This window comes from Homo sapiens, chromosome X (genome assembly GCF_000001405.40).
Source record: "Homo sapiens chromosome X, GRCh38.p14 Primary Assembly".
Classification (NCBI taxonomy): domain Eukaryota; kingdom Metazoa; phylum Chordata; class Mammalia; order Primates; family Hominidae; genus Homo; species Homo sapiens.
The window spans coordinates 55484353-55506471 of record NC_000023.11 but is presented as its reverse complement, the minus strand read 5'-3'; the positions used below and the strand labels follow the sequence as shown (position 1 = coordinate 55506471).

The window sequence follows — 22119 nt, the reverse complement described above, 5'->3', positions numbered from 1 at the left end:
CATAAAAAAGAGTAGAGAATACACGGAGACACAGACACACGAGGAGGAGAACACCGTGTGAACATGAAGGCAGAGATTGGAGTGAGGTGTCTACAAGCCAAGGAACACGAAGATTGCCATAAGCACCAGAAGCTGGAAGAGACAAGGAAGGATCCTCCCCTGGAGGATTCAGAGGTAGCATGGTCCTGCCAATACCTTGCTTTCAGATTTCTAGCCCCCAGAACTGTGAGAGAATACATTTCTGTTGTATTCAGTAACGGAGTTTGTGGTAATTTGTCACAGCAGCACCGAAAAACAAATACACCAACAGTAATAAAAGATGTTGAGCCCACACCTGCAATATATGTATCTTTGTAAATTTACAAATTATGTACTGGAAACGCTGTATAAATATGGAATTCTCAGTATAAAACACACACACCAAAATTAGACTTTTAAAAGAAAGTAATAAAAATGAATATGCATAGACTTGCTAATGTTTCCTTCCCATGCCTCAATGGCTCTTCTTGCCATCTCTGCATGTGCACACCTCATTTTGTAGAACGAGGCGCTCCAAGATCTCCTCACCCTGATTAGGGTGGCCATGGAGTGCTTGCCAGAAAACATTCAGCTGCCTTCTGGACCCTTCCATCAGGCTGGTGAGACATTCTCAATCTCTTCTAAAGCAAATGGGAGCTGAGGAAAGTTCAGGAGTGCAGACGTGGGTCCAGTCTCTCCAAATCCACTCTGATTGACGTGTCTTCGCACAGACTGCAACAAATCTTTCCTCTTATAACAGTCAGAACGGCCCCAGTGTGGACAGCACATGGCCCCCTCTATATCTGGCTTTCTCATCCATCTAATGCCTCCACCTGTAGGATTTTTCACAAGATTGTTTCAGGTCACATATAGCTAAATAATTTCAATCTCTGTCTCTGTCTCTGTCTCTGCCTCCCTCTCTCTCTCCATGTATTCCACCCTCTTTCTGTCTCACTTCCGGGGAGGGGGGAAGCATTGTGTTTTACCTCTTTTGTCTAATTGCCAGAGACTTAATTCTCCGGTATAATGTTACCCTTTTCCTCAAGGGGATATCCTCTGGGGCCATCAGGGCTGTTGCAAGGCAAAACATTTATGGTAGAAGAATCAATAATACTCACATTTATTATTTCAATATAGCATCCCCGTTATACAGCTTTGCTTCTGGAAAGTACCCAATCCTGAAAGCAGCAGAGGGTGAAATCCTCACCCCCACCACCCCTGACCTCTGTCACCTGTACTGATATAACTTAGATGAGAAGCATCAAGGTGGGACTGCTCCTCTCTTGAATATAAAGCAAAAGGAGAGGCAGGGGGTGGGGGTGATCCTCACAGGTGAAGGTGATAGCTGATACCCTAGGCTCAAAATTCTACTGCTATTCCCTGGGGGACCCAGTAAGATCTGAATGGAGTGTTTCAAAGGGGCCTCTGTTTCAAAGGGGGCCTCACCCCTCTAAAAAGGGGCTGAGGGTTAGGCAGGCCTTTTTCTCCCAGAAGTGGGCAAAGGGACAACCCATCTAAGAACCTTTACCCTTGGGTAGGGGAGAACAACCTTTCCAAGGGATCCTGCCAGATCGACCACTCTCCTGGTGCACTAGTGGTAAGGAGAGAAAGTAACCCACTGCTCGAGTTCCCTAGACCGGTGTGTATGTTTTGGGTTCAAATATTGTTGGGGAGAGATGGCCTCTAATTGCCATGAACAGAATGTGGAGCATGTACCCCTTCCACAGTGACAATTAAAGTCTTTCTTTGTTTCTATTTACTTGCCCGTTTTTTCATTATAAAAATTTTATTCATGAAACATATTAAATTTTGAAAATGGAAAAAAGAAGAAGAGAGTCACCCAAAAGCTGCCCAGGCTCAACCCTGTGGCTCAAGGATCAAGAGAACCATGACTGCCTTTATCTTCCAGCCAGATTTGTAAACCGGGACCCGTTTGTTTCCCCAGTCCTGGCAAGAAGTGAGCAGGTTATATTTTCTTGAAAAAAGAAATGGCCCAGAAACAATGAGGGGAAAGTGGAATCTATCAAAAGACTCTAAGAGACACTGAAAATTACATGCAATGTGTGGAACTTTTCGGATCTTAATGGGGTCACATGAACTGGAAAAAATCTTTCATGAGACAATTGGGAAAATGGAAAAGGTACTGGAGAGTAGATGATGTTCGGTCAGTCTTAGTCTTTTCTAGGGTATGATATTGTATCCTGCTTATGTTAAAACAGGCCCTTACCTATTAAAGTCTATTTCTGGATGAAAAGATTTGATGTCTATACTTGGCTTCTCTGTACTCGGAAAAGAAAAATTAAAAGTATGATGGAGGATAGATGAAACAAGGATTGAAGAAAGTTAATGATTGTTGAAGTTGATGGCTCTTGAAATTAATGGGTACATGGAGTGCATTCTAACATGCTTTCTGCTTTTATGTGTTTGAAGTTTTCATAATAAAAAGTTAAAAATGACTTGCTTGCATTAGTGAGGGTAATGTGGGGGCAAGAGATTAGGAAGAAGAAAGAGTCATGTTCATGGAAACAATAGCAAGAGAAATATGAAAAATACCTGTGAACTACATATTCATAGACCTCATGCCAATTGTAGATTCTGACAGAAATAAGCCACCCTTGAACAAATGGTTCAGCAAATGGCTCTGCAACATGAAACAGTGTTTATTTTCCCAGAGAAAGAACATGGATGGAAGGCGTTGTCTTTTGGATTTCTTAATCAATCATAATTTACTTTTAAAAGGCACCGCTTTGCTGTTGTTGTTGAAGAACGAATGTACAAATTATTTATAAAATAACATGGACCCTTGGTAAGAATGTTGAAGGCGTCCTGCTTGAGATTTTCTTACCTATAAGAAACCAGGTGACAGAAGGTATGAACTGTCTCATATGTGAGCTTGGTAGAGAAAGTATTTGAGATCCAGAGAGACTTAGGAGTCAGAAGCATGGGCTCATGTCTTTACCAAAGTCAGCGCCATTTTCAAGACAATAGCAATATAACAAAGGAATCTTGCACTATTTAGAAACTTCTGTTTAGGGGATCCTCTGTCTCTGGGGATCCATTACACCGGGGCAGGAGGTGGCAATCTTACCAGAGTGCCCCACCAAATATCACACCCCTGTTCACTGCTGCACTAATGGTAAGGTACAGAGTGCTAAGTGAGAAAAGTTCAGAAAAGTGCGTGATTTTGTGTGTGTTTGGGGGGGGGATGCAGTAGTGTTTGTGCAAGTGTGTGTGAGTGTGTGTGTGTGTGTAAAGGCAAATCTTGTGGAGATAGGATGGCCTCTTACTGGAAAGGGGAGATGAGAAGTTGTCCCATTATACATTAACTACATTTTAAAACCAAATGTAGAGGAAAGTGATCTGAAAGAGGTTTTATCCTTATTTTTTTAATTTTTTTTGTCTTTTATAAAACACACCACATTAGCACATTATAATGATTTTTGGAAACAAAGAAACACAAAAGTCACCTATTATCTCACCATCACAAAGTCCCACCGTACGCATTGCAACATATGCAATCCCCCTCTTCTATGTATATTTTAGGTGGCTAAGATAATACCATAAATAGGTTTTATGTCTTGTATATCTTTTTACTTGACTTCATCTTGATTTGTGAACGTAGGCATGTGAGTCCTCATGAAGATATAAAAATTCAATCACATTTGCCCACACATTGAACAAATTGCAGTTTTCATAATGATACAATTAGATGTAATCAGAGCTGGCCCTGAAAATCGAGAGCATTTGATCTCCACAGGCCTGATTGGCTCTAACGGCAGATGGAAGGAGCCTCAAGTCTCTCAATCACTGTCAAACTGTGAGGTGGGGCCTGACAGGAGCAGTGGAGGAAAAGGTGGTTTAAGGTCGTCACCCAACACAGGAGTCATTTGCCCTTTCTACCATGCAGCTCACACAAAGTGGATCAACCACTGCTCCTGGGCACACAAACTGGTTTCTAAAAAAACAGAGCTGCAGTAGGGCAAATCCCAGTGGAGAATCAGGAAAGCAACTGAGAGCTGAAGAGAATCTACCCTGGTGTCCAGAACGCCTTCCACCCCTAAAAGAGGGCCGGCAGAGGAAAGAAACCTGGAGAGCACACACAAATGAGGATGGTATTCACAATAACTTACAAAGGTTATGGTAATATCAATCAGTACATAAATCAGCATATCAATGAAATATTGAAACGGGTTCTTTATATCCCCTCAATAAGTGATTTCTGACAAAACTATGTAACACAGGATTAAATTTGTAGCTTAACAGCTGATTTCTCTTAAAATGCCTATACATTGCTTGATAGAATTTCCAAACTCCGTTTTTTTGTTGTTTTTGTTTGTTTGTTTGTTATTGTTTTTGTTTTTGTTATTTGAGAACGAGTCTCGATCTGTCACCCAGGCTGGAATGCAGTGGCGCAGACCCGGCTCATGGCAACCTCTGCCTCCTGAGTTCAAGCGATTCTCCTGCCTCAGCCTCCCAAGTAGCTGGGATTACAGGCATGTGCCACCACACCCGGCTAATTTTTTGTAGTTTTGTAGTAGAGACAGGGTTTCACCATGTTGGCCAGGCTGGTCTCGAACTCCTGACCTCAGGTGATCCACCTGCTCGGCCTCCCAAAGTGCTAGGATTACAGGCGTGAGTCACCACGCCCGGCCAGAACTTCCAAACTCTTTTGCAGCTGCAGTGATATAAGGAGCTGACTGGGTCCAGGGATTCTTCACACTTTCATTATTTCAATTTCTAGCTTTTCAGAATGTTGCTTCTTTCTGCAGGTTACTTGAAGTAAGATGGTAAACACAGTTTATTGAGAAAAGACTTTCGAATATTTGCTTTATATCCTTTATGGCACCAGCCAGAGATAATTGAACATGATGACTTGTCACCAAAGTAAAACATCTGCAAAATTATCTGAATCGTTGGCTAAAATTTCAGACTTTCTTCCTAGCATTCCATGGTCAACGCCTTTCAAATTCGAATACATGTTCATCTGAGTGTTTTTGCATTAACCTCATTCTCTCAACCCATTCTTATGGCTACACACAGCATGTACGCGTAAGGTTTGGTACATGATTTCAGATGAGATTTCTCCCAAATTTCACATTTTAGATAAATTTCATTAGGCTTTCCACTGAAATAGTTGAAGTTGACTCTCCTGACATGAGCACTGAGATTCCTGTGTCCTGGAAACCTCTCTGAGGGACATGCAAAGACACAGGTTTCATAGATGGGTGTAGAAATTTGGGGTGGGAGGAGGGACAGGCTTCTTACAGGTGGCCCCCAATATAGGGGCTGAAAGTAACCCTGTTTTTAGTGTGAAATGGACACCGCACAGATTATCCACTTTCCATGTTTCCATAGTTGTTGTTGTTGTTGTTGTTGTTTTCTTTTTCTTTTTCTTTTTTTTTTGAGATAGAATCTCGTACCGTCGCCGGAGCTGGAATGCAATGGCCTGATCTCGGCTCACTGCAACCTCCACCTGCCGGATTCACGCGATTCTCCTGCCTCAGCCTCCTGAGTAGCTGGGATTACAGGGCCCCGCCACCACGCCCGGATAATTTTTTGTATTTTTGGTAGAGATGAGGTTTCACTATGTTGGCCAGGCTGGTCTCGAACTCCTGACCTCGTGATTCGCCCGCCTCGGCCTCCCAAAGTGCTGGGATTACAGGTGTGAGCCACCGTGCCCGGCCTCCATGGTTTCTTTTATCCCCTCACTGCTGATATTGGCAACTATGATTTGGGGCCCCCAATAATGGATTATACATGGTGACATTCTGATGTGAATTTAGTGCACAACTTAAGCATGTTGTATTCCTGAGCATTAGCACTCTGTCTGTGGATCGACAGTTGTGACCTGAATTGCGATAGTGCTGGTTTAACTTTTAACGTTGTGAATTCAGTGAATTCACTGTACATTGTGAGTACAGATCTAAGAATTCACATCATGAAAACGAGAATGATGACAATACCACTGCCAGCATGACCAAAAAAAAAAAAAAAAAAAAAAAAGACAGACAAATTATTGTGTTATTTTAGTGACGGATGGAAGAACACATAAGACTGGATTAGGGAGGTAAATGACAAAACCAGAAAACACTACGCAAAATGCAGAAATAACCTGGGGTCAGGTATGGTGGAGAAGGGGATGTGAAAGCAACCAAAAGACTCCCAAAAAAGTCACCAATGTCCCATTGAAAACGGAGCCTGCTGAATTATTGTGGGCATACCACACTGACCCCACACACATTGTGCTTCCATTTCCTTGATTGCTCTATGAAGCTGAGTGAAGTTACATTCAGAGTTTGCAACAAACATGTTCTGTACATGAATAAGAGAAAGTTTGATCACAGATGTGCTGGGACCTTAGAATGCGTGTAGAGCTTATTCTGTCAGATCTTACCAACTATCATGCTTTCTAGAGTGTATCAAGTGATGTGTCCATCCAATGGCAATGACCAAAACATCTCCCCCAAGCTCTTATGTAATTCGATTTGGAAAATGCAGTTGCAAATAGTCTTCTTGATTCCTGTGAAGATTTTAATGAAACCGCAGACACATAGAGCAAAAGATTGCTGATACCTTTCCAAATACAAACTCAGCTTTGCTCATCGATCTGCATAGTGGAAAGACAGAGCAAATGTACAATTTGGCAGAATCCATCCAGCCTACAAACTTCCTATCAAAGAAAATGAAAAGCTCTTACCTGTTAAATGTGCTGCACACCATGTACTCAACACTGATTTGAGAAGAAAAGTGTGATTTGCTTACCTGTGATTTTGAGACCTATATAGTGAAGGTTTGTTGCCACTTTTTAGTTTCCTCAAACATGCAGAAGTAATGAGGTTTGACAGAGACATGAGACTATAAGATGTCTGTCATTGCTGCCAACCATGGAAAAGATGTTAAGATGTCCAGCTGCCCATAAAATCATATTTTCAAAGTGTGAGACACGAAGAATATCTTTCTCTTATTTGGAAATATGCTGAAGATAGGAATAAAGAAAAGGATTACAGTAAAATGGAGACGAGAGATACAGTAAAGCAGAAATGTATATGCCATTTCTCCAAAACTGTGCGAAGGTCCTTGAAGAGGCCATAAAGAGCTTAAGAACCTATCAACTGACTGCCCCTGAATTGTTCCATGTTATGTGCAGGTTGCAATGAAAACTGACATGGCAAAAAAAAAAAAAAAAAAAAAAAAAAAAAAAGACACTTTTTTTTTTTTTTTGGCAAAAAGACTGCTTGAGAAATCAAGAGAAAAAAAGGTCACTAGCAAAAGGCTTCCACATCAAACAGGACTTTCTCAACTTCTTTGCTAATAATTTAACTTATAGGAAATCCAACTTCAACAATGCAAGTTCAAATTACCCTTGATCTTTAAAAACCTTTTTCCCGAGAAAGAGCGATGTAACATACAATGACATCCAGTGTGCTTCAGAGTGTTTAAGAATTATGGACACTTTAGCCATGAACAGTCTATAGGAGGAATCATTGATACAAAGGACCCGATTGACTGACAAAGCAAGCCTTATGTATAGAAAGGAAATGCACATTTCTGGAAACCTGGAAATCAATTTCTACAATCTAAAACCTACTGTAGGTAGAAGTAAAATCCATGCTCAAACGCTTTTGTTGAGAGGATATTTAGTTCAATGTCATTACATTGGACTGATGCCAGGAGGCAATCTAATGTGGCCTTGGGAAGAGGAGAACTGGATATGTCTAAGTAAATTATAAGTCTGGTTGAGTGCTGATTAGCCACTGCACAAAAGAAAAGAAAAAAGGAAGTTCTAACATGGCGGGCAGTTCAGAGAAGAGTTATGACAGAAAAAATAAAAATATCTTACTATGTTGGTGACAGAATGAAACCAGCCAGTGGGTTTTTTTTTTTTTAATGTAGGTAAGTATCTGTGTGGTTATTACTGCTGTTTCTGCATATGCCTTTTAAAAAGTCTTCTGGTTGTGTATGATAAAAAGTAATGATATAGCCAACAAAATTTTAAAATCCAATAAGAATTTTTCTAAAAACAGTTACCATAAATTGCCGTGTCAAAAGACAGAAAGGAACATTATGCTATACCGTTATATTTTTCACATCTATTGTGTAAATAGTCCATTTATTTACTACTATTTGCCACTGTAAACTAGTCCCGTTGTCACCTTGTTTAAACAATGGCATTTATGAAACCAAAGAAAGAAATACGGAATGATATGTAATTGTAAGTGAACTCTTATTTTTCTTATTTTATGTTAAAGGAATAATGCATACATGTACTACTAATTATGACACAATGCTTTCTTGTCTCCAATGGATATATCCAAGGTTGATGTTCCCAAATTTTGGTCACCCCAACCTTCATTTTGTGATTTGTAAGATTTCTAGAAGGTTGCCCTCTCATTTCAGTAGACAGGTATCACAGGCGAGACTGAATTTTAATGGCAAAGACACAGCCATCATTTTATTTCTTTATGAAGTTCCATGAATATTTCATGGCCCAAGTGATTTTTCATTATACAGAAGATATTCCTCAAAATTCTGATATTTTCTGAGCATTTTTTCATTTGCTCTTTGAACACCGGGATAAAGTATTTTTGAATTTTCTGATTTCACATGCATGATGGCATGGGACTGATATATGCTGATCGTTTAATTTCTTCATCATCAATGACAGGACATTTTACTTATTTGAAGCACGAGCATAACAGAACACAATTGTCGGTCTTTGAAATGTCTGTGTTTAGCAATTTCAACTTTTAGATCTGACATTTGAGGGCCATTTGCATCCAACATTGAAATCACTTGCAAACACAGTACACTCTAGTTGGAGAGAGGGATGTTGTGTCTGAGTGTGGAGGTTCAATCCTGACTCTACTATCTATTAGCTGTATGACATTATTTCACCTCATCTGTAAGATGAGGATGGTAATAGTAAGCACCTCTTGCAACTATTTTTTCACTTAGTCGACAGACCATTCTGAAGGTTCGCTATGCTTCTAATAGGAACCAAGGATATTGCAATAAGCAAAAAAGAAAAACTGCCTTCCCTTGGGCCACTTTGATCCTATTGGAGGAGACATCACATGCACATATATTATAAAGTGGGAAATAAAGTCAAATAAAATGAATAAAGGGAAATAAAATGCCCTTTATTCCCTGAGATGGTGGGTTGGGGAAGGCCTCTCTGGGTGATATTTAAGCAGAAACCTGAATGAAGGCAAGGCAAGTCATAGGGAAAGACAGTTCCAGGCAGAGGAATGTGTGAAAAGATCCTGAGAGGAAACTAAGCTAATGCTTTGAGAGGGAGCAAAGAGCTTACATATATTTCGCCTTCACTATGTGTCAGGCTCTGCCCTATGCACTTGCTATTTCTGTAGCTATTGAATTCTGTCCACATCTCTCAAAGATAGGTGGTACTAGTATAATCAGCCTGGTTTTTACCAATGAAGGATTCAAGAAACATTGGGGAAGCTCTGCGGGACATTGGTCTGGGCAAAGTAATAATTCTTGAGTAATAACCCACAAGCGCAGGCAACCAACGCAAAAATGAACAAATGCGATCGCATCTAGTTAAATAGCTTCTGCACAGCAAAGGATACAATCAACAAAGTGAAGCGACAGCCCACAGAATGGGAGAAAACATTTGCAAACTGTCCATCTGACAAAGGATGAATAACCAGAATATCTAAGGAGCTCAAATGACTCAATACAAAAAAGTCTAATAATCTGATTAAAATATGGGCAAAAGATCTGAATAGACATTTCTCAAAAGAAGACGTGCAAATGGCAAACAAGTATGTGAAAAGGTGCTCAACGTCACTGACCATCAGAGAAATGCAGATCAAAACTACAATGAGACATCATCTCATCCCAGTTAAAATGGCTTTTATTCAAAAGGCAGGCAATAAGGAACGCTTGCGAGGGTGTGGAGAAAAGGGAACCCTCGAGCACTGGAGGGTGTGGAGAAAAGGTAACCCTCGAGCACTGTTGGTGGGAATGTGAATTAATACAGCCACCATGGAGAACAGTTTGGAGGTTCCTTGAACAACTAAAATTAGAACTATCATATGATCCAGCAATCCCACTGCTAGGTATATACCCAAAAGAAAGGAAATCACTATATTGAAGAGAGATCTGCACTCCCATCTTTATTGCAGCTCTATTCACAATAGCCAAGATTGGGAAGCAACCTAAGTGTCCATCAACAGACAAATGGATAAAGAAAATGTGGTACATATGCACAGTGGAGTACTATTCTGCCGGAAAAAGAATGAGATCCTCTCACTTGCAACAACATGGATGGAACTGCAGGACATTATGTTAAGTGAAGTAGAATGATGGTAACCAGATGCTGGGAAAGGCGGGGGCTAGGGGAAGTGGACATGGTTAATGAGTACAAAAATATGGTTAGGTAGAAAGAATAAGATCTGGTATTTCGGGCTGACTTATTTATTTATTTTTTTGAGACAGAGTCTCACTCCGTCACCCAGGCTGCAGTGCAGTGTCACGATCTCGCCCCTCACTGCAACTTCCGCCTCCTGCGTTCAAGCGATTCTCATGCCTCAGCCTCCCGAGTAGCTGGAAATTACAGGCCTGCGCCACCACACCAGGCTAATTTTTGTATTTTTAGTAGAGACGGGGTTTCGCCATGATGGCCAGGCTGGTCTCGAGCTCCTGGCCTCAAGTGATCCGTCCGCCTTGGCCTCCCAAAGTGCTGGGCTTACAGGCGTGAGCCACCGCGCCTGGCCCAGATCTGGTATTCGATACCACAACAGGGTGATTACGGTCAACAATAATTAATTGTACATTTAAAAAGAACTAAAAGTATAATTGGAATGTTTGTAACACAAATAAATGATCAACGTTAGAGGTGATGGATACCCCATTTATCCTGATGTGATTATTACACGTCGTATGCCTGTATCAAAATATCTCTTGTACCCCATAAATACATACAGCTACTATGTACCCATAAAAGTTAAAAATAAAAATTTAACATTTCTGTTCTTTAAAAATTATCATAAAGAGAATGAGAAGATGACCAAAGACTGGGAGAAAATATCTGCAAATCATATACCTTATAGAGCACTTTTATCCTTTCATTCCTAGTTTTCTAATATTTTTGTTAAGTTTTAGTTAGGAATGTAGATTAAATTCGGAAAAATACTTTTTTTTCTGAATCTGTTGAGATGATCACTTTGTTCTGTTAATGTCATGAATGAATTAGATTCATTCCTGAATGTTGAACTAGCCTTGTAATTTTTAATGAATATCACTTCATCGTTATATAATATCCTTTTATAGCTTGCTTGATTCAATTTGCTAATATTTTATTGAGAATTTTTGGATCTTGGTTCATGAGGGACATTGGTCTTTTCTGGTAATAAAAGACCAATGTCTTTTATTGGTCTTTTCTGGTAATAAAAGACCAATGTCTTTTATTGGTCTTTTATCTGTGTCAGGTTTGGCTCTTTCTTCTTTGACTCGTGGGTAATTTAGAAATGTGATTTTTTAAGCACCATATAATGGAGACTTTTCTATGTATCTAAATATTATTGATTTCTAATCGGTTGTGAACAGAGGATGTACTCTGTATGATTTTCTTCCTTCGGAATTAGTTAAAACTTGTGTTATGGTCCTAGAATATAGTGTATCTTAGGGTTGGCAAAGTACGCCCTGTGAGCTGGCAGCTTGTTATTGTCAGTTAAGGGTTTTTTTTCTTTTTAATACGGTCACACCCATTTATTTATACATTATTTATGGATGCTTTTATACTAAAACGTCAGAGTTGAGTAGTTTACAAAACCTAAAATATTTACTATTTTTCTAAGAAAAAGTTTCTCAGTTCCTGTATCTTACTGAATACTAAGCACATTTCAAAAGATGTGTACAGTCAGCCCTCCATATCTGCAGGTTACACATTTGTGGATTCAACCGTCAATTGAAAATACTTTAAAACATAAAACAGAAACAAAAATGACAATACAATAATAAAAAGTAATAATACAAATTAAAAAAAATACAGCATAACCATATTCACATAATCGTATTAGGTATTATAAGTTGTCTAGAGATGATTTAAAGTACACGAGCGTATGTGCATAGGTTATATGCAAACACTATATACCATTTTATGTAAGAGACCTGAGCATCCAAGGATCTTGGTATTCACGGGAGTCCTGGAACCAATCCCCTGCAGATACTGAAGGAAGACTGTATTTTATGGTGTACATTAGTGGTGTATTTCATAACTATCGATTACCACAAGTTGGTTCACAGTGTTGTTTAGTCTTCTATATCTTTATTGACTTATGGCCTTTTGTTTTATGAATTATTGAAAGAGCAGTGTTAAAATATCCAACTGTGATTGTGGGTTTTCTATTTTTTTCTTTAATTCTGTCAGTTTTAAGTGTTAACACATTTATGATTTTGAAATAATGCTCTTTGTTTTTGTATCTCTCCTTCTTCATAAATAGGGCATACCAAAGTTTTGTGAGAAAAAAGAAAGAGAAAAGAGCACACGATATGCACTTAATAAATGGTCTGTAATTCTTTGGCCCACTAAGCAGGCAAAGTGCTCAGGGCATCGTAAAGCAAGCCTAGTCAGAGAGAGGTCTGTGCATGTGTGTGGGGAAAAGAGCTGCGCCTTTATTTTCACCCACCTCTAACTTACAGTGATCATGTCCTAAAACTATGAGCCTAGGCATGAAACTCCATTGATAGTAGTACTACATGTGACTGTGTCGCCAACAAAAATTTCGGTATCACATTACACTTCTTTCACATTTCTCAGAGTATCACCTATGCTCAGCACTACTTTGAAACTATGGTAGTTATTATACCCATCTTGTGATAGTTATGTAAGGTTTAATTAAAAAAAAAATTTCCTCACATCACAATATCTTTCTAAAAGTACAAAATGCCATCTCCATACAATGCATTTTTATAATCCCGTGTGTTTAGTTATATATATTTATGTTAAAAATATCATTGTCTTAAGGGATCCACCGGCTGTACCAGGATATCAAAGGGATCCAAGGCACCAAAAGGCTGAGGATCCCTACTGTGATGGTTAATATTAGGTGTCAACTTGATTGGACTGAATTGAAGGACGCCTAGATAGCTGATAAAGTATTGTTTCTGGGTGCATCTGTGAGGGTGTTGTCAGAGGAGACTGACGTTTGAGTCCGTGGACCGGGAGAGGAAGACTCATCCTCAATGTGGATGGGCACCATCCAATTGGCTGCCCGCACGGGTAAGGCAGGGCAGATGGAAGTAGGTGGGACAAGCTGGCTTGCTGAGTCTTCTGGCTTTCATCCTTCTCCCGTGCGGGATGCTTCCTTCTGTTCCTCCTGCCCTCGGACATCAGACTCCAGGTTCTTTAGCCTTTGGGCTCTTGGACTTACACCAGTGGTTTGCAGGCGGGCTCTTGGGCCTCGGGACACAGACTGAAGACTACACTGTTGGCTTCCCTACGTTTGAGGCTTTTGGACTCAGACTGAGTCACTACTGGCTGCTTTCTTCCCCAGCTTGCAGACGGCCTATCATGGGACTTCGCCTTGTGATCATTTGAGCCAATTCTCCCTGATAAACTCCTTTTCATATGTATACATATACGTGTGTGTGTGTGTGTGTGTGTGTGTGTGTGTGTGTGTGTGTGTGTAGGATACATATATCCTATTAGTTCTGTCCCTCTGGAGAACCCCAACTAAAACACCTACTCTAGGGGATGTTTTGAAATGAACATCCAAGGGCAAAGGGAAGGCAATGGACTGACAGGCCGCATGTTTTCACATATGTAATCTCATGTGCACGGACAATACAGAGGCTTCTGTGGTTGAAGTGCTGGAGCCCACAAAAGCAGAAAATGAAGCTGAGGTTGGACCTACTCAGGGGTGGGGGTGGGGGGGAGTTGGAGTAAGTTGGGCAGTTTCCATTTTAACCAAGAGACCACAGGGAGTCACCATGGGTCTGTGGGCAGGAGAGGGCACACTCCAGTGGTGTCTGAGGCTGTTGCTTCAGAAGGTTGGAGGCAGACCAGCTACGAGCTGGAGCACAGGAAGAAAAGGAACAGAAGAGGGGATCCATCCAGTGAGGGGACAGGGGCAGGAGGCTGGGCAGACAAATGTGGGCCCCAAAGGACTGGAACCCAGTCCATGGCACCCTCCCTGCAGCCCTAGTCAGGGGCAGGTAATGGCTCCAAGTCTGCCCTTTGGGATGCTGGCCTCTGAGAAGCGAGGTCATTGAGGGGAAGAGGCCCAGATTGGGAGAAAGAAGGCTGTGTGAGGCTTCAGGGGTCCAGTTTTCAAGGTACTGAGCGAGCCACCAGGAGCACAGAGGCAGGCTTTTTCCCAATCCTGCTCTTTCATACACCACCCCACTCCCAAAGGACCCTGCCACACCTGCCACAGCTAGAATCTGTAAGAGACGCCAACATAACACAGGCCTGGGAAACCAGCTCCATCAGACATGGCTCCTGCTACCAAGGCCAGAGTGCCTTGACCTGGGCTTCTTTACACATTATCCCACAGTAGTGGTTCTCAAAGTACCATCTCCACGCCAGCAGCATCCGCATCAGCTGGTACAGCGTTAGAAACCTAAATTATTGGGCCTCACCCAACCCACTGAACTGGGAACTTTGGGAGTGGGGTCTAGCAGTCTGTTAAGTCCACCAGAAGGTTAGACGCAGCTTCATTTTGGAGGAACCAGTGAACTCCAGAAAGGCCTAAACCATGCAGACCCATTCATTTTCATTTTGACAGTAGTGACCCATCACGCTGTCCTGAGGTTTTCCTACAGGACAATTGTCAATGAAGAAATCGTTTGTTTGGTCACGATAGCGTGTGGGCTGATTTAAAGGCGTGTCTAGCTCAATAACAACTGTTTTCAGAAACTTTTTGAAGCACTGTAACAATCCCACCTCCCAAATATTAAGTTGTTGATTACGAGTGGTTTTTAGGCCTTTATTAACTAACATTAATCTTCACAGCACATTCCTATGCATTTCCCGATGTGGACCTCAGGCAGGGACTCTGGCTTACTTGCTTTTGTGCCCAGTTTTGTTTGGCTGTATATTCATAGTGCCCAGTGCAGCAGTAGGTGCTCTTTACATATCTGCTGAATAAACCAATCTAGGTAGGGCTGGCATTCTCATGATTCTGATTTTGCACAGGAGAAAGCGAAGGCTCAGAAGACAGAAGTATTTATAAATTGTGCCCTGCCTCCCTGCCTGCATAAAGGGTGCAGGGCTGTCTCAGAGCAGCTGGGATCCAAGCCACAGGTGGCACAGCTAGCAAATGACTGACTCAGCATTTCCTTCTAGGGCTGCTAACCCAGAGTGGAGCAACTCTTTGCTTAGCTGTGGCTGAGAAAATGCCCTTCCCTAGGGGAGAAAAAGCACGTTTTCCTGCACAAGCCAGTCTATAATTCCAAAGCACTTTCCCTCCGGGTGCTAGTATGTGACTGAGATATGGTCGAATCTAAACCAAGTCACAAAATCAGTGATATCCATTGTGCGGAGGTATCCACTAGATGCCACTGCCAAGTTAAGAGAGCTGAATCCTAATCGTGAGGTTTTGAGGGGAGGTGTGTGACTTTCTCAGAGAGATTAAATGTAGCATTAAACATCCGCTGTAATAAACCGTAATTTTCTTGGGATTGGACCGGAAGGGCAACAAGCCCTGGAGATAGCTTTCCTCCGGGTTGTCGCCTTGGATGCCGGATCTGTCAAAGAAAAGGAAAAGTCTCCTGGCGTATGGACTTCAGGACACAAACAGTTGTATCTTGTGCTTCTCCCAGCACAATCTAGCGCTATAATGCACCTATGGCATCTTTGTTGAATACATGCTCCTGTATATGGACTGCCTAGGATGGATGATCGGGTGAACTGAGCCATAACTTTGAGAGAGCTTTGAAAGAGAAAGGCATTCTCTTCTCCTCTACTCTGCATCAGGAGTTGTTCTCTATGCTGATTTTCAGGAGCGGACTGAAAAAAGAGGTGTGACAGATAAAGCTCGCCAAAAAGGTCTTTTACTTGATATATACTATGACTCAGTGTTCACATTGGGCTAGGGTTATTATTTCAATTTCTCTTTAAAAATTGACACAACTAAGGCTCAGAGAAGTTAAGTGTTTTATCCGAGGTCACACAGCAAGCATGTGCCTGGGCTCAGGTCTCTCTGAGCCTGAGCCCTTGCTTATGCTTCCTCCCCTGCACATTCTGGGATAATCTCTCTCTCTTTCTCTCTCTCTCTCTCCCTCCCTCCCTCCGTCAACTCCCAGAGACCAGGCTCTGACAGGATCCTGAGGGATTCCTGCCAGAGGGTTGCCATCTCTGGAAGCCCCCACCCCCACGCCGGGTGAATCTTTTTTTCTGTGGAGTGCGGGCCTGGAGCTAGGTGAGGCCTGAGCCTCCATTTCAGGGGCTTTCTGTAGAATCTGTTGCTGCTGTTGCCTCCAGCAGAGTCTGTTTCAGGAAGAGGTTTGCCTGCCTGCGCGGGACAGCGGTGCCATTCATCACTGCAGGAGGGCAGAATCCGGGGTTGGGGGCCGCACGTCGAGAGGGGAGGGGCCAGGGGGCGGCCCCCTTGTGACCAGCCCTGAGGAGAGGTCAGGAGAGAAGGCTGGCTGAGGAGCGCCTGGACAGCAGCAGTTGCTGACGTTCTATATCACGCGCCTGGGGCCCAAGGTAACCCAGACCTTTAAACAAACTGCCGGGCTGGGGGTGTTGCGGGGGCAGGAGAGGGAAAAGGGAGCGGAGACTTCGGGGGTCGCGCGAGGATAGTGGTGGCCATAGAGGTGGCAAATGCGTGAAGGGAGGGAGTAGTAATCCGAATTCTAGGAGAAATCATAGGAATTGAAGTCGCAGAAGCAAGAAAAGGGGTGTGAGAGCACAAGCGCGAAAAAGCGTGAGAGGGCGCAAGAGCTGGGTGGACCGAAAGTGCGCTGAGGGGCAACGGCTTAGAGTGGAACACACCGGGTCACAGAAGTATAGGTTAGGTAGAAACAGAGGGACACTTTCTTCCTGTGAGTTCATTTTCCAAAAGTGCGTCCTTTCAGCCATTTTGGAGAGAAAATGTTGACCCAAGTGTTTTTTAGGATACAGGGAAAGAACGTCAGAGGAAGCTGCACCAAAGCGAGGCTGCGCAGGGCGCAAAAAAGCAGTCAGAGGGTGGCGCCTTTTTTAAAGAAGTTTCCATCCTTTCTGTCCTAAAGCTCAGGCCGTTCCCCACCCCCACCGCTCGCTAGCCTTCTGTTCCCAGTCCCCTGGCATGATCTGATCGCCTTTGAAGCAGGTAACCGCCTCGGTCTCCCCATCAGCTCCAGGGGCCTCTCAGTTGAGTGGGTGGAGCCGACAGAAGCCGCGGGCTGAGCTCAAGGGCCGATGGGAGGGGTCCTGGGGGCGCTAACTGCGCACCGCGGCCATGACGCTGGGCAGATCATTCACAGAAGTCTCTGTCTCCTTTCATCTACAGTCGCAGCTGTTTTCCAGACGCCTTGCTCCTCAGGTCGGGGAGTGATCTGATGGCCCAGGTTCGAGAAACTTCTTTGCCCTCCGGCTCTGGGGTCCGCTGGATCTCCGGAGGTGGGGGAGGAGCCTCTCCTGAGGAGGCGGTTGAGAAGGCGGGGAAAATGGAGGAGGCGGCGGCGGGGGCTACGAAGGCGTCTTCGAGACGTGAAGCCGAGGAGATGAAGCTGGAGCCATTACAAGAGCGTGAGCCCGCGCCGGAGGAGAACTTGACGTGGAGCAGCAGCGGCGGCGACGAGAAGGTGCTCCCTTCAATCCCCCTTCGCTGTCACAGCAGCTCCTCGCCCGTTTGCCCGCGCCGCAAGCCCCGCCCTCGGCCCCAGCCCCGGGCCCGCTCCCGCAGCCAGCCTGGGCTCTCGGCCCCACCCCCGCCTCCAGCCCGGCCCCCGCCCCCGCCGCCACCCCCGCCCCCACCCGCACCGCGGCCCAGGGCCTGGCGTGGATCCCGGCGCAGATCCCGGCCTGGGTCCAGGCCTCAGACACGGAGAAGCTGCTCTGGTGACCTAGACGGGTCGGGGGATCCTGGCGGCTTAGGGGACTGGTTGCTGGAGGTCGAGTTTGGTCAGGGTCCCACAGGCTGCTCTCATGTGGAGAGCTTTAAAGTAGGTAAGAACTGGCAGAAGAACCTGAGGTTGATCTACCAGCGTTTCGTTTGGAGTGGGACCCCAGAGACTAGGAAACGTAAAGCAAAGTCATGCATCTGTCACGTATGTAGTACCCATATGAACAGACTCCACTCTTGTCTCTCCTGTGTCTTTTTTGGCTGCTTCACTGAGAAACATATTCACAAACATGCAGAAACAAAGCAGCACCATTTAGCTGTAGACCTTTATCATGGGGTCATATATTGCTTCATGTGTAAGGATTATGTATATGACAAAGACATAGAACAGATTGCCAAAGAAACAAAAGAAAAAATTTTGAGATTATTAACTTCCACCTCAACAGATGTTTCTCATCAACAGTTTATGACATCAGGGTTTGAAGACAAGCAATCAACCTGTGAGACAAAGGAACAGGAGCCAAAATTGGTGAAACCCAAGAAAAAGAGAAGAAAAAAGTCAGTCTATACTGTAGGCCTGAGAGGGCTAATCAATCTTGGGAACACTTGTTTTATGAATTGTATTGTCCAGGCACTTACCCATATTCCTCTACTGAAAGATTTCTTCCTCTCTGACAAGCACAAATGTATAATGACAAGCCCCAGCTTGTGTCTGGTCTGTGAAATGTCTTCGCTTTTTCATGCTATGTACTCTGGGAGCCGAACTCCTCACATTCCCTATAAGTTACTGCATCTGATATGGATCCATGCAGAACATTTAGCAGGGTACAGGCAGCAGGATGCCCATGAGTTCCTTATTGCAATATTAGACGTGCTACATAGACACAGCAAAGATGATAGTGGTGGGCAGGAGGCCAATAACCCCAACTGCTGTAACTGCATCATAGACCAAATCTTTACAGGTGGCCTGCAATCAGATGTCACATGTCAAGCCTGCCATAGTGTTTCTACCACCATAGACCCATGCTGGGACATCAGTTTGGACTTGCCTGGCTCTTGTGCCACATTCGATTCCCAGAACCCAGAGAGGGCTGACAGCACAGTGAGCAGGGATGACCACATACCAGGAATCCCCTCACTTACAGACTGTCTACAGTGGTTTACAAGGCCAGAGCACCTAGGAAGCAGTGCCAAAATCAAATGCAATAGTTGCCAAAGCTACCAGGAGTCTACTAAACAGCTCACAATGAAAAAATTACCCATTGTGGCTTGTTTTCATCTCAAGCGGTTTGAGCATGTAGGCAAACAGAGGCGAAAGATTAATACCTTTATCTCCTTTCCCTTGGAGCTGGACATGACTCCGTTTTTGGCCTCTACTAAAGAGAGCAGAATGAAAGAAGGCCAGCCACCAACAGATTGTGTGCCCAATGAGAATAAGTATTCCTTGTTTGCAGTGATTAATCACCATGGAACTTTGGAAAGTGGCCACTATACCAGCTTCATCCGGCAACAAAAGGACCAGTGGTTCAGCTGTGATGATGCCATCATCACCAAGGCTACCATTGAGGACTTACTCTACAGTGAAGGGTATTTACTGTTCTATCACAAACAGGGTCTAGAGAAAGACTAGTCTTACCAGACCACTTACTGAAAAAAAAGTAAATGATTAGGCAAGGATTTTGAAGTGACACACAGACCTACTTGGAATGGACAATGACAGTAACACCTATGTGACAGCTAGTATCTTGATATAAAGAACCTATTTTAGCATGGCCCATGGGTCTGTCGGAAGAAAAAAATGAATACTAACCAGTGACCATTCAACCTTAAGAAATGGGGAGAGGGAGAAGAGGTTGAAAATGGTCACATAAAGCATAATGAAATGAAAAGAATGCTTTAGGTGGGGACAACGGGAGTAGAAGTGTTCTGATGCTACTCTATGTCATTTGTTTTTACAGAAATATCTTGTGAAGTCAGGGAGTATTCCTTTATCAGCAAAAACTTCACAATTGGTGTTCCAGCTGTGGCTGACCAGCTAAATAGTTTGAAAGAAAAATAATATTTTAAAATAAAGTTTAAAGAGCTTTAAAAGAAAAACATTTAAAAAGGAAAAAATCATTTTTAAGATTTTAAAAGAAAAAAACTTTTAAATGTTGAAAAAAATTTAAGTTGTTATTTTTAAAAGAAATATTTTAAAAGTTAAAAATAATTTTTTAATTTAAAGAAGTTTCAGAATTTTAAAAATTAAAAGCAAAGAAAATTAAATTCTTAAAGTTTAAAAATGTAAAATAAATTAAGGAACAAGGTTAAAAATGAAAGTTTACCAAAAAAAGGAAGAAAATACTGTTAAAAATTAAAGTTAGAAACAAAGGAACATCTTAAAAGTTTCAAATGAAGGAAAATAATATAAATAGATATTTCAAAATTAAAGCATAAAATATACGTATTTAAAAAGTGTTAACAAAATTACTACTATAATGATTAAGAAATAAATTTTCAAAAATACAGAATGGAATGCAATTCAGATTTTAGAGAAAAGTTTTAAAAGAGGCAAGTTTAGAATAATTCAAGACAAAAAGACAAAATGTGTTTAAAGACAAAAATTGAAAAAATACAGGAAGAAAATAGAGACTTGTAAAATAAAAAGAACCTTAGATAAGTTCAAGAGATTTAAATGAAAACTTTAAATATTTAAATAAAGATTTAAAAATTTAAGCTTTTAAAAAGAAAAACAGTTACATAAAAATTGACCAGTGAAAAAATGTGAAAGATTCAAGTAGAAAAAATTATTAAAATTAAAAGTTTAAGAAGTTCTATTTTTTTATTTAAGCATATTAAAATACAGACGGGTATGAAAGAAATAAATGGAGGAGACAGGAATAACGACAGCGGTGTGTGAGTATATATATATATATATATTTTTTTTTTTGAGCTTTATGTTGATATATCAATATACGTTGGAAAAGGAAATAGACATTTTAATCATTATCTTACCATCCAATTGTGAAATGGCTGCAAGGCCTAAACACTAACTAACCCACCTTCCCCTCTTGAGATTCCATGCCCCATCTCATATCCTGAAGGAAGTCAAATTACTTCCTAGGCAGAATCAATTCATCTGAGAAAAATGAAAACATTAGGGACTTTCCCATTTAGAACTGCATTATTCATACAAATTCTTAGCTTCTGAAAAGGGGCTCTTGATAATTTGGTGGCTTAGAGAAGTTAGATCACAGCTGTGAAGCTCTGGCTTTGGTATTTGAGCCCCATGGCCTGATTGAGGAAGTGGCAGGGACCCATATCTGAGGCCTTCCCACCTTCCTTTTTCCCTCTTCCCCCTCCAAGGAGAAACAAGACCTTTAATTTCCACAGTAGAGCAATGGGTTTGTGCTTGCAGTCCTTCTGCTCATTCTTTATTCCCTCTTTATTTCCTTTTTTTGTCACTCATGCCTAGTTCCCTGAACCCCTTACTTACCTGGCCTTACCTACATCTCTGAGCCCCAGCCTGCAGGGCTCCTTCTTTGACTATTCACCTGGTGGCTTTTACTCCTCCTTCAAGACCCAACTCACAGATGACTTCTCTGGAGTCTTCCCTGAATGCTCTAGGCAGGTATAAATGAGAAAATTGTTCCTCTCTTCCCCTCTTTATTCCTCTCACTGTGCCTCCAAAGTACTTTGTCCATACCTCGGTGATAGTACTTATTCTACTGTGATTTTATTGTAGCTTTGTGATTGTCTGCCCCTCTGCACTGAGCATCTAAGAACAGGGGGCCAAGCCTTATTCATTTCTGTGTTAATAAATATTTGTTAAATGTGAAGATGAGTTCAGTTATTTGCTCTATTCACCTTGTCAGTAATGTTTTCTCACCCCTTCATCCATCAGGCTGCCATTAAATGCCCAGTGCTATACTACAGTGTGATCAGTATTGTATTTTACCCCAAAGCAGGATATGAAAAGCACTCAGCTGCAGGGGCTGGCTTAAGAAAGGTGCTCAGTGAGAAATAGCCAGGTGTGTGGAGGGAGGCCCAGGTACAATGCAGAGAAAAGAGCACAGGCCTGGAAGTTGGCAGTCATGGAAGA

At 42.3% G+C, this 22119-nt stretch overlaps 1 protein-coding gene and 1 long non-coding RNA gene across 5 annotated transcripts, besides 5 other annotated features; one reads left to right on the top strand and one right to left on the bottom strand.

Annotated features, from left to right (window-relative positions):
• Positions 14959 to 17531, bottom strand: LOC101928692 (uncharacterized). Its single transcript, XR_244468.5, has 2 exons — positions 17426 to 17531; positions 14959 to 16607 (listed from the first exon to the last, which is right to left on the bottom strand). It is a non-coding gene; the product is annotated as an uncharacterized LOC101928692 (long non-coding RNA).
• Positions 16432 to 16541: a silencer, noted in NCBI's record as "silent region_20867". NCBI's record gives its function as "represses an Ori minimal core promoter by ATAC-STARR-seq in GM12878 lymphoblastoid cells {active_cell/tissue: GM12878}" and the evidence as "EXISTENCE:reporter gene assay evidence [ECO:0000049][PMID:35858748]".
• On the top strand, positions 16624 to 21856 carry USP51 (ubiquitin specific peptidase 51). Of its 4 annotated transcripts, none has more exons than XM_017029300.2 (3): positions 16624 to 16696; positions 17224 to 17303; positions 17484 to 21856. In XM_017029300.2, the coding sequence occupies exon 3, from the start codon at positions 17533 to 17535 to the stop codon at positions 19666 to 19668; it is 2136 nt and encodes a 711-aa protein (XP_016884789.1). In that variant the 5' UTR covers positions 16624 to 16696; positions 17224 to 17303; positions 17484 to 17532; the 3' UTR covers positions 19669 to 21856. The 4 variants fall into 4 exon arrangements, with proteins under 4 accessions (XP_016884789.1, NP_958443.1, XP_016884790.1 ...); NM_201286.4 differs by having other exon boundaries at positions 17107 to 17303; XM_017029301.2 differs by lacking the exon at positions 17224 to 17303.
• Positions 16932 to 17031: an enhancer, noted in NCBI's record as "active region_29680". NCBI's record gives its function as "activates an Ori minimal core promoter by ATAC-STARR-seq in GM12878 lymphoblastoid cells {active_cell/tissue: GM12878}" and the evidence as "EXISTENCE:reporter gene assay evidence [ECO:0000049][PMID:35858748]".
• Positions 17209 to 18068: an enhancer, noted in NCBI's record as "H3K27ac hESC enhancer chrX:55514837-55515696 (GRCh37/hg19 assembly coordinates)". NCBI's record gives its function as "activates a minimal SCP1, AML or CMV promoter by ChIP-STARR-seq in primed H9 embryonic stem cells {active_cell/tissue: H9 hESC(primed)}" and the evidence as "EXISTENCE:reporter gene assay evidence [ECO:0000049][PMID:30033119]".
• Positions 17252 to 17691: an enhancer, noted in NCBI's record as "active region_29679". NCBI's record gives its function as "activates an Ori minimal core promoter by ATAC-STARR-seq in GM12878 lymphoblastoid cells {active_cell/tissue: GM12878}" and the evidence as "EXISTENCE:reporter gene assay evidence [ECO:0000049][PMID:35858748]".
• Positions 17862 to 17941: a silencer, noted in NCBI's record as "silent region_20866". NCBI's record gives its function as "represses an Ori minimal core promoter by ATAC-STARR-seq in GM12878 lymphoblastoid cells {active_cell/tissue: GM12878}" and the evidence as "EXISTENCE:reporter gene assay evidence [ECO:0000049][PMID:35858748]".